This window comes from Homo sapiens, chromosome 1 (genome assembly GCF_000001405.40).
Source record: "Homo sapiens chromosome 1, GRCh38.p14 Primary Assembly".
In the NCBI taxonomy this organism is placed as follows: Eukaryota; Metazoa; Chordata; class Mammalia; order Primates; family Hominidae; genus Homo; species Homo sapiens.
In genome coordinates this window covers 9,549,622-9,561,909 of record NC_000001.11, presented here as the reverse complement: position 1 = coordinate 9,561,909, position 12,288 = coordinate 9,549,622, and the positions used below count along the sequence as shown (strand labels likewise).

Genomic DNA, 12,288 nt, shown 5'->3' with positions numbered 1-12,288 from the left:
AACTAAAACCTCTCTCAAGTAACACCCTGAAGTGGCCTATACTTTATAATATAGCACATAATCAAGATTTTCAAACGCTAAGTGTATCAAGAAATTGTGTAAAGTTTAGATCCTCTCTGTGGTCCCCATTAATGTACCCTGTTCAGCTTCAGGAGTCATTTAAACACAATTAAGGGAATCTCTGGCTCCAGGAAGCTTGAAGCCGCTCATCCATAATGCAGTAGGGAACTCGTGTCCTCAAGTGACTCAGGCCTGTTAAGAACTTAAGAAAGGCGGTCTCCATAGTTACACATAATAACAGTTGGCAAAAAGCCAAATCTGTTACATAATCCAAACTTCTAACCTAGCTTGATGTTTACAAAACTTTTCTGGAACAATTAAGATCCTACTATAAATGGTACATTTCAGCTGCAAAATCAAGCCCAGAAGGATCCAGACTCATTTTCCCACAGTCACAAACTTTCATTTAGGAAAAAAATGGAAAAAAAAAATCAGGGTCTTGTTTGGAGCATTTTATTCTCTTCACTGTTTTATATCATAATATGCATAGCACAGACTAATCCAAGACAAATGTCTCATCTGAACACTGTGGTTCCTAAAAGATAAGATAGGAGATCACTAACACGTTACTTTTCAATGAAAAAGGCACTTGAAAAAACAAAAAGAGGGCTGCGCGCGGTGGCTCACGCCTGTAATCCCAGCACTTTGGGAGGCCGAAGCGGGCGGATCACAAGGCCAGGAGATGGAGTCCATCCTGGCTAATACCGCTGAAACCCCGTCTCTACTAAAAATACAAAAAAAATTAGCCGGGCGTGGTGACGGGTCCCAGCTACTCAGGAGGCTGAGGCAGGAGAATCGCTTGAATCCGGGAGACAGAGGTTGCAGTGAGCAGAGATGGTGCCACTGCACTCCAGCCTGGGCGACAGAGCAAGACTCTGCCTCAAAAAAAAAAAAAAAAAGAATGTGTCTCAGCAGTTTAAATAGTAAGAACTTTGCTGGAAAATATTAAGCCAGAAGATTTTTATTTTTTTTAAAAGCAAATACCTGAAATACATATACTATTTATTACTCTGGCACATTTAATAGCAGATACCTGAATCTGTTAACATATTGCCTTTTTGCTTTTTAAGTAACTATTAAAAAAAAAAAGATAGGTTCGAGATAGGTTCTTCAATAGAGAATTTTTTTCTTTAACAGAATACTTTTCTTTAACAGAATAGAGAATATTTTTTTCTCTGAATTTTGAAAATAAACTTTCTATAAACAAATTCTGTTCTCTGACAAGTCTTTTAAAGTAGTATTCCCCAAATGAGTAAGACTATTAATAAGCAGACAACTTTTTTTTTGAGATGGAGTCTTGCTCTGTTACCCAGACAGGAGTGCAGTGGCACGATCTCGGCTCACTGCAACCTCCGCCTCCGGGGTTCATGCCATTCTCCTGCCTCAACCTCCCGAGTAGCCGGGATTACAGGCGCCCACCGCCACACCTGGCTAATTTTTTGTATTTTTAGTAGAGATAGGGTTTCACCGTGTTAGCCAGGATAGTCTCTATCTCCTGACCTCGTGATCCGCCCGCCTCGGCCACAAGCAGACAACTTTTAAACGAATGACCATGTTATTTGCATGGGTTTTTTTTCTTTTCTCTTTTTTTTTTTTTTGAGATGGAGTCTCGCTCTGCTGCCCAGGCTGGAAGGCAGTGGCGTGATCTCGGCTCACTGCAACCTCCGCCTCCCAGGTTCAAGTGATTCTCTTGCCTCACCCTCCCGAGAAGCTGGGATTACAGGCACGTGCTGCCATGTCCGGCTGGTTTTTGTATTTTTAGTAGAGACGAGGTTTCGCCATGTTGGCCAGGTTGGTCTCTAACTCCTGACCTAAGGTGATCCACCTGCCTTGGCCTCCCAAAGTGCTGGGATTACAAGGGTGAGCCACTGCGCCCAGCCTTGTATGGTTTTTGAATAACAAAGTGTCTTCCAAAAATGTCAACAGGAAACTAACACGGGCTTTGTAGATAAGACAAAAGCCTGTACCCTTGTTCTTGTTTGATCACTTACTAGATAAAGACCCTCTCTGTAAACCATCGTCACCGCCGTTAGCTTAGGGATGGTTAATGAAGAAACAGAAAGCTGTACAATAATCCAGGTGAGAGAGGATGGTGGCTTCAACCCACATGGTAGCAGCCTGAAAAGGAGCCACCCTCTGTTAAGCCCCCCTAAAGCTTCCTAAGTTGGTATATTGTTTTTATGTAAGTCCTGAGTTACAGACTCTGCCTTTAGAACTTATTAACAGGAAAAGATACAAATTTCCCCCGAAGAGTATGCTTTCTTCACATGAGAATTATGTAATAGGATATTCCCCCCCACCTTTTTTTTTTGCCTCTATTAAGAGATAAAAGACTTTAAGGTTAAAAAAAAACAAAACCTTGTGTTTAAAAGCAGAGAGTAGCTATTATAATGACAGCAGCTTTTATTATTTACACGGAGGGAGGGTGTTAAGCCCTTTATATGCAATATCTTCCTGACATGCCAAAACTCATGCATTCAATTTGTATGGAATGCTTGCTATGTGACAGGCAACATTCTCGATGCTTGGGGACGATTTCAGTAATTAAAAGAAACCAAAGTCACTACCTCCAAAGAAGTCCCATTGGAGGGGGTGGTGAAGAGGGAGAAAAGAATAGAAATAAGTAAACTACACTGTATGTTGATGGACGTAAGTGCTACGGATAAAAATATAAAGCAGGAAGGCGGGCTGGAGTGTTGCGGAGAGTTTGCTTTTAAATAGCATGGTCACTATAGGGTCTTCCTGCAAGGTGATGACAGCGGACGTCAGCCGTGCAGACAATGTCTACTGCAAACACCCTGCGGTGGGAAATGTTCCTGGCCTTTTAAAGGAACAAAAAGGAGGCTGGAGAGGCAAAGGGGAAAATAGGAGATGAAAAGTCAGAAGTAATGGGAAGGGTGAGAATCGTGTAGAACCTAGTAGGCCACAGGGATAGCTGTAGCTCTTACCCAGAGGGAGACAGCAACTCTGAGCAGAGGATCTGAGCAGAGGGTTCTCTGGGTGCTCTGCTGAGATCAGACTGAGGGTAGAGGGCAGCAAGCTTTCAAGCCAGAGCAGTCAGGAAGTGAATGCACCAATATAGGTGAGATACGGTGGCTTCCATCAGGACAGTGGTGGAGGAAGTAGTGAGAAGGGGTAAGATTCTGTATTTATTTTGAAGGTAGACTTGATAGGATTTGCTGCAGGGCTGAGAAATAAGATCCAAGGATGACTATGAAGCTTGAGATCTGTGTAGCTGGAAAGATGGAGCTGCCTCTAACAGAGACAGGGAAGACTCTGGGAGCAGTAGGTTTTGTGGAGTTCTGTTTTGCTCATGTTACTCTTGGATGGCTAATAAACATCCAAGCTGTCAAACAGGCAGCCGGATGGAGCGTGTGAGGCTCAGAGCAGAAAGGCTGCCAGCTTACAGATGGTATTTACAGCCATGAAACTAAGTGCGCCCACAGGAGTGGCAGTAGCTAGAGAAGGCCAGGGTCTGGGCCCTGGACCCTCCAACAGCCAGAGGTTGTAAGGCTGCAGCACAGCAAAGGAAACAGAAGCAATAGCCACGGAGGCAGAAGGGTGCAGTCCTAGGAGTCTCTGAGCTGGGAACTGCTGCTGCCTTCGCGGAGAAGCAGCAGAGGCTCAGCCTTGTGTCTGGGGCTTGTTCATTTCTTACTTTACTTTAGCGGCTTCAAGTCTTTCTTAGAAGCAAGGTGGATATACATTGAACATGACTTTGGGCATGTCACTTAGCCCTTAACCTGCATGTCCTCTTCTCTAAAATAGAGGTAACGTCACGCCTGAGTACTCATCTGCTAAGGTTGTGCAAAATCAATGAAATACTACCACGTAAAAGGAGTTTTCTTCGTAAGTGTATACACCTACTATGTACCCACAATTTTTTAAAAGTAGTCCTTTACTTGAAAGTTATTAAATAGTTGTGTGAGAGAATCTTTCTTTTTTTTGACACAGGGTCTTATTCCATTGCCCAGGCTGGAGTACAGTGGCACAATCACAGCTCACTGCAGCCTTGATCTCCTGGGCTCAAGGACATCCTGTCTTACGTAAATTGTGCCTAAAAGTGCTAAATGTGTGGTTTTTGCAATAGAGCACCTGCATTTTATTACGTCTTTTTCTAACATTTCCCAAATACATTTTTACAATGATAAGTAGCTTTCCTGATAAATGTGTCTTGAACACACTCTTGCCCAAGAATCCGTTTGAGAGATCTGAATATCATGCTCAGTTATATTCAACTCCTAAGTTCAGCCTCCTGAGTAGCTGGGATTATAGGTGCACGCCAACATGCCCGGCTAATTTTTTGTATTTTTTGTAGAGATGGGATTTCGCCACATTGCCCAGGCTGGTCTCAAACTCCTGGGCTCAGCTCAAGCAATCCATTTGCATTGGCCCTTCAAAGTGCTAGGAATACAGGCATGAGCCACCGTGCCCAGCCCAGAATTTTAAAAATATATAATAAAGCTGAGGAAATAAAGCTTAAATAAAATAGCTCTTGGGTGAAAAGTGCCACTTTACAAACACCTTTCTGACAAAACATTATAACTAAAATTTTACTTACTAACGCCATTGTTTATATTTTGATGTCAATAAAATAAACTGATTTAAAAGTATTCATGCCGAGCACAGTGGCTCACGCCTGTAATCCCAGCACTTTGGGAGGCCAAGGCGGGCAGATCACCTGAGGTTGGGAGTTTGAGACCCGCCTGACCAACATGGAGAATCCCTGTCTCTAATAAAAATACAAAATTAGCCGGGCGTGGTAGCACATTCCTGTAATCCCAGCTACTTGGGAGGCTGAGGAAGGAGAATCGCTTGAACCTGGGAGGCGGAGGTTGTGCCGAGATCACGCCATTGCACTCCAGCCTGGGCAACAAGAGTGAAACTCTGTCTCAAAAAAACCCAAAATTAATTAATTAATTAAAGTATTCATATATAAGTGATGGCTCATTATTGTGTAGCTGTGGCTGTATTAACCAATGAAGCCGGTGGGACTGTAATGAAAATAGTTTGTCTTTTGTGTGGTGTGGAAGTTGTTCCTGTATTAAAACATGGAGTGGCCTTTTTCCTTTGATTTAAATTTTACTAAACAATTGCCCTAATTGAGGGGAGGGAACAGATACACACAGACACACAGACACACACACAGACACACACACACACACACAGACACAGACACACACACAATCTCTTATGGGGGGGGCTGGATTTACTGGAGATTAGAAAGCCATAAGAATCCAAAATGTTCTAAAATCAGAAACTTTTTGAGTGACAACATGATGCTGAAAGAAATGCCCATTGGAGCATTTTGTATTTCTGGACTGGGGATGCTGAACTGGTATGATGAAGCAAATATTCCAAAATCCGAAATCTGCATTGCTTCTGGTCCCAAGCATTTCAGATAAGGGACACTCAACCCACATATCCTGTAAAACCTAAAATGGAGAAACATTCCCATTTACCTTCCAGGTTGGCCCTATTGACACCCACACTTTTGGGTAACAGTTCCCCAGTTACAGTAAATCCAAATTCACTAGTCATGATTATTTGGCAAGAGGAAATTCATTTTGAATGTTACTGAAGTAACATTACCTGTCTTCAGTTTCCTTATGTCCAAAGCACTGCATGTTCCTTAGAAGAAAGGTGTCACCCGGGACACTGGCACCGCCTAAGCATGTGAAAAGGCAAAGCAGGAGGAGTGTTCTCACAGTCCCATCTTGATGGGGGCCATGGACTCGGATCTGTCCTGAGAGCAAAGTGTCCCTCCACATCTCTGTGCTTCTGTCCCTCCTGTACCCACCCCCAACTTTCCTGCCCAGTGTCTCCACTCCTTTTCTTAGCATTTAATTTAAAAACCTGATTCTCACCCAGACACAGTGGCTCATGCCCATAATCCCAGTACTTCGGGAGGCCAAGGCAGGCAGATCTCCTGAGGTCAGGAGTTCAAGGCCAGCCTGGCCAACATGGTAAAACTCTGTCTCTACCAAAAATACAAAAATTAGCCAGGCATCGTGGTGCATGCCTGTGATCCCAGCTACTCGGGAAGCTGAGGCAGAAGAATCGCTTGAACCGAGGAGGCAGAGGTCTCAGTGAGCAGAGATCGTACCACTGCACTCCAGCTTGGGTGACAGAGTGAGAATCTGTCTCAAAAAAGAAAACAAACAAACAAACAAAAACCCCAATTTCTCCTGGAGTCTTGGACACCAATCTCCCTGTTCCCTCGCTGGGCTTCTGATGCTCTCACTTGTCCCTGGCATCTGGTCTTGCTGTTCAGTTTCGCTCAGTAAGCTCAGATGTACCTTTGCACACATTTGGCATGAATGCCCCAGTGACTCATAGTTGGGTTTTACAAATAAAACATACCTAAAAATAAACTAAGCACTCTCCAACTCATCCTGCCTTATCTAAATTGTGCCTAAAAGTGCTAAATGTGGCTGGGTGCGGTGGCTCACGCCTGTAATCCCAACACTTTGGGAGGTCAAGGTGGGCGGATCACGAGGTCAGGAAATCGAGACCATCCTGGCTAACATGGTGAAACCCCGTCTCTACTAAAAATACAAAAAAATTAGCTGGGTGTGATGGCGGGCACCTGCAGTCCCAGCTACTCAGGAGGCTGAGGCAGGAGAATGGCGTGAACCCAGGAGGCGGAGCTTGCAGTAAGTGGAGATCGCACCACTGCACTCCAGCCTGGGCGACAGAGTGAGACTCCATCTCAAAAAAAAAAAAAAAAAAAAAAAAAGTGCTAAATGCGTTGTTTTTAAAACAGAGCATCTCCATTTTATTACTTCTTTTTCTAACATTTCCCAAATAAATCTCTACACTGATAGCTTTCTTGATGAATGTCTTTCTTGAACATACTCTTGCCCAAGAATCAGTTTCAAAGATTTGAATATCATGCTCAGTTAAATTCAACTATTAATTATAGAGCATCTCAAAGTACAAGGTCCTGAGCTAAAAATCAGATATTCAATCAGTTCTCTTCTGAATTTGATTTTACCTTATGCATAGACTGATAAGCCAAATTTGACTTAAGAATATTTGGCTACTTTATAAGCAAATGAATTATTTTTTCTACAGTAAAAATAATAAAATGGGCAGGTAGCTCAGGTATAAAACAAATTTTAAAGCCCATTTTATTAAACATAACTTTTCTACACATTTAAAAATATTTCCCAATAAAAAGCAAAAAAAAAGCTGGTGTGGTGGCTCACGCCTGTAATCCCAGCACTTTGGGAGGCTGAGGCAGGCGGATCACCTGAGGTTGGGAGTTTGGGACCAGCCTGGCCAACATGGAGAAACTCCATCTCTATGAAAAATACAAAATTAGCCGGGCATGGTGGCGCATGTCTGTAATCCCAGCTACTCAGGAGGCTGAGGCAGGAGAATCGCTTGAATCCAGGAGGCAGAGGTTGCGGTGAGCTGAGATTGTGCCATTGCACTCCAGTTTGGGCAACGAGAGCAAAACTCCAGCTCAAAAACAAACAAACAAACAAACATTTTGTTTCTTTTAAAAATATTCACGGCTGGGAGCGGTGGCTCACGCCTGTAATACCAGCACTTTGGGAGGCCAAGGTGGGCAGATCACCTGCAGCGAGCCAAGATCGCACCATTGCACTCCAGCTTGGGTGACAGAGCGAGATTCTTCTGTCTCAAAAAAAGTAAATAAATAAAATAAAATAAAATATTCACAACTCTTCTGTTGTGCAATTTTTAAAATTTTACTCTATCACCTCTTATCTTCATTTCCCTCAAAAGCTTTGAGCAAGAGCAATGATGTGATGCAACAATTTACACGTGGATTTTTGGTTTGCTTTGCTAGGTTTACTTTAACTGCCCTGGATGATGGTCACATGTACACTGGGACCCCCCGCTGCCAGGGGAGCAAGGTCAGAGCTCAAAGGTATTGGTAAAGAAATCTAATTCTTAAGTTAGGACCAAGGCTATGCAAACAGAACATCACATTTGATAAGCTTGATGAACATTCTCTGTTGACAGTGGCGGTACAGGGTGTGCAGGTGGCAGGAGCAGACAAGACTGAACTTACTTCAGAACCTGAAAGAGTCCAGGTGTCACGGATGTTGGTCTCACCATTCCAGCTCCACTAATGGTCCCCAGATGAACCTGAGGATAGTAGACTGTCCGGAGAGCTAATCTTGAAGACTGCAACCGTGTCTTAATGACTTCTAGTGGACAAGTGAAAATAGCACCAACTGTGCCTCCACACCTGTAAGGGAAACCAAAGCAGATCAGAGAAGCTATACTATTCCCTACACAATGGAATGCTAAGCTTAGCTTTTCTCTCTTTAAAACTAGAACGTGCCGGGCGCGGTGGCTCACGCCTGTAATCCCAGCACTTTGGGAGGCTGAGGTGGGTGGATCACGAGGTCAGCAGATCGAGACCATCCTGGCTAACACAGTGAAACCCTGTCTCTACTAAAAATACAAAAAAAGAAAAAAATTAGCTGGGCGTGGTGGCAGGCGCCTGTAGTCCCAGCTACTCGGGAGGCTGAGGCAGGAGAATGGCGTGAACCCAGGAGGCAGAGGCTGCAGTGAGCCGATTGTGCCACTGCACTCCAGCCTGAGTGACAGAGCAAGACTCCGTCTCAAACAAAAAAAAAACCCAAAAAAAAAAAAAAAAAAAAAAAACAAAACTAGAACACAATAAAGGTTAATAAAATTAGTTGAACCTCAGCACTTTGGGAGGCCGAGGCAGGTGGATCACCTGAGGTCAGGAGTTCGAGACCAGCCAGGCCAACAAGGCAAAACCCCATCTCTACTAAAAATACAAAAATTAGCCGGGCATGGTGGTGCATGCCTGTAATCCCAGCTACTCAGGAGGCTGAGGCAGAGGTTGCAGTGAGCGGAGATCTTGCCATTGCACTCCAGCCTGGGCAACAGAGCAAGACTCCATCTCAAAAAAAAAAAAAAAAAAAAAAAAAGTTGAAATCCCAGAGCTAAAGGGTAACTACTATTCCCACGTTAGCACATCCTTTGGGGCTTTCCATTCTTGGCATTTTCACCTAACCCCTTCCCAGTATCTAGGTATTCTGAGTGCCCTTTTATGGCAAATTATGCACCTGCTTCATCATTTCCAATGGCTTCATACTATCTCTGCCTTATCGATTGATAAGATATTAACCAATTTCCTACTGTTGGACATTCATGTAATTTCCAATTTCACTACCATGCTGCAATGAATACTCTAGAAAAGTATTTCTGCACATTCAAACAAAATAGTTCATTCAGGTGAAGATACTATTTTGAAAATCAATATTTACTCCAATACAGACCCTTCTTAAAATTTGATTAATTACTTTCGGCCAGGCACTGTGGCTCACACTTGTAATACTACCACTCTGGGAGGCTGAGGCAGGTGGATTACTTGAGGCCAGGAGTTCGAGACCAGCCTGGCCAACAGGGTGAAACCCAATCTCTACTAAAAAAAAAAAATACAAAAATTAGCCAGGTGTAGTGGCACATGCCTGTAATGCCTGTAATTCCAGCTACTGGGGAGGCTGAGGCAGGAGAATAGCTTGAATGCAGGAGGCAGAGGTTGCAGTGAGCCAAGATTGTGTCACTGCACTCCAGCCTGGGTGACAGAGCAAGACTGTCTTAAAAAAAAAAATCTGATTAATCACCTTCAACAATGAAGTCCTTGTGTTTCCCTCATTCACAACTAATCAGTTAATCCTGTGTTTTCATTACTCACACTGTCTCTCTGGATCAGGGTTCCCCTAAGCCAATCATTTGAGTATTACCCTTATATTCATATCGAGATATTACCTGAATTACTATTTAAATATTTTTCTTCAAGGCAACTCACTTATTTATCCTAAAATACCTACTTCCATCATCTCTTAAACAATTCTACCAATGAAATAACATGTTCGATGGGCTAGTTATAATTAACAATGTCAAGGGCCATAGACACATCCTCACCCATGCCTACCAATGACACAGGCCTCACTCTGGAAAACATCGCTCTATAATCTGATGAGTTCCTCAAGATTCAGACCTGGGGCCTTACTTATCTTTCCATCCCTGGCATCAGGGCTCAACAAGTTCCTAAACAGTGTTTACTAAGCAAAGGAATTATTCAATTGAGATTTCAACGAAAATGTCTTCCAAGGTTTCTAAGTATTTGAAAAAAAAAAGTCTTTCTCATTAGACTGGGAGCTCCTTGGAGAAAAGCTGTTTGTACATTCTTGCAACTAGAGCGTAGCAGGCACCTGGCATAAAATAGGTGGGTCAATAAAAATGATAGAGCACCAGCATCTCCGCCTGGGAAAGGCAACGACAGGAAGGAAAAACAGGCCTGGACATATAGAATGTTTATGCAGCTTCCCTACTCCACTAGAGGCAAATGTTGGAAATCTAGAAGCAAACCTAGTACCTAACGCACACTCTGAAAGTAACGAATGAAGTAAAATCCCCATGAGGGATTATTTTATTTTATTTATTTACCTATTGATTTTTGGGGGACAGTTTCACTCTGTCACCCAGGCTGGGAGTGCAGTGGTGCGATTTCAGTTCACTGCAACCTCTGCCTCCTGGATTCAAGCAATTGTCATGCCTCAGCCTCCTGAGTAGTTGGGACTACAGGTCCCAGCTGTATTTTTTTGTATTTTTAGTAGAGATGGGCTTTCACTATGTTGGCCAGGCTGGTCTTCAACTCCTGACCTCAAGTGATCCACCTGCCTTGGCCTCCCAAAGTGCTGGGATTACAGGCGTGAGCCACGCACCTGGCCTATTTTTATTTTTAATCAAGTTGTGGGCCTAGCTTAATACTGGTTTGTGTAATTTGCTCCAAGCACTAGAATATATCTAAAGAAAATAGGCTATAATAAGGAATATTTTTAAAAAGATAGAAGTGGCCAGGTGTGACAGCTCATGCCTGTAATCCTAGCACTTTAGGAGGCCGAGATGGGTGGACCACTTGAGCTCAGGAGTTGGAGACCAGCCTGGCCAACAGGTCAAAACCCTGTCTCTACCAAGAATACACATTAAAAAATTAGCTGGGTGTGGTGATGTGCGCCTGTAGTCCCGATACTCGAGAGGCTGACGTGGGAGGATGGCTTAAGACCAGGAGGCAGAGGTTGCAGTGGGCTGAGATCACACCACTGCCCTCCAGCCTGGGTGACAAAGCCAAGACTCAGTCTCAATAATTAATTAATTAATTAATTAATAAAAATAAAAATGATAGACGTAAAAACTTTCTAACCCATGTCTATTCATACAAAATACTCCTACCTGTCATAATAACCACATGCCTAAAAAGTATAACATTTAAAGATACTGAGAAACTTACCAGCTACGTAGTAAAATAAAGAAATATCTGAAATCTATTTGTGTTCGATAACGTAACTCCAAATCATTGAAAAAGAGCTTCTGGGTAAATCCTTTCATCAGAAAGCCAGTAAGTTCAAATACCATACAGGTCAACCACCTTTGCTTTGTCCCTAAGTAAACTGCACTCATTACTTTGGCCAACTGTCATCCAAGTCTATGCCACTGATCAAAGGATGGTGTGTTCGTCCAAAAAAGCAAATGCCCTAGTAACAGCGAATCAGTGACCTCTTTCAAGGTGGCAGGCCACACTCACTTTTTTTTTTTTTTTTAAAGAGAGAAGGTCTTCCTCTGTTACCCAGGCTGGAGTCCTGTCTCTACAAAAACAAAAACAAATTAGTCAGGCATGGTGGTGTACACCTGTAGTCCCAGCTACTTAGGAGGATCACCTGAACCCAAGGAGGTCAAGGCTGCAGTGAGGTGAGATGACACTACTGTACTTCAGCCTGGGTGAGACCCCGTCTCAAAAAAAAAAAAAAAAAAAAAAAAAAATATATATATATATATGTATAGAAAAAATATATATACATATATAGAAATATATATATAAAGATACATATATAGAAATATATATATATATATGTTGGGCGTGGCGGCTCACACCTGTAATCCCAGCACTCTGGGAGGCTGAGGTGGGCAGATTACTTGAGGTAAGGAGTTCTAGAGACCAGCCTGACCAACGTGCTGAAACCCTGTCTCCACTAAAAATACAAAAATTAGCTGGGTGTGGTGGCGGGTGCCTGTAATCCCAGGTACTCAGGAGGCTGAGGCAGGAGAATCCCTTGAATCTGGGAGGCGGAGGTTACAGTGAGCCGATCTCGCATAACTGCACTCCAGCCTGAGCGACAGAGCAAGACTCTGTATCAAAAAAAAAAAAAAAAA

At 43.1% G+C, this 12,288-nt stretch overlaps 1 protein-coding gene across 1 annotated transcript in view, besides 1 other annotated feature; it reads right to left on the bottom strand.

Moving 5' to 3' along the window:
- Positions 1-12,288, bottom strand: part of SLC25A33 (solute carrier family 25 member 33) — a 45,709-nt gene that overhangs the window by 23,264 nt on the left and 10,157 nt on the right. Inside the window, exon 2 of the mRNA NM_032315.3 lies at positions 8,105-8,284. Within this exon, the coding sequence (NP_115691.1) occupies positions 8,105-8,284 (180 nt within the window). The remainder of the gene's footprint in view (positions 1-8,104; positions 8,285-12,288) is intronic.
- Positions 6,293-6,493: a silencer, noted in NCBI's record as "peak56 fragment used in MPRA reporter construct". NCBI's record gives its function as "represses an SCP1 promoter by STARR-seq MPRAs in K562 erythroleukemia cells {active_cell/tissue: K562}" and the evidence as "EXISTENCE:reporter gene assay evidence [ECO:0000049][PMID:32103011]".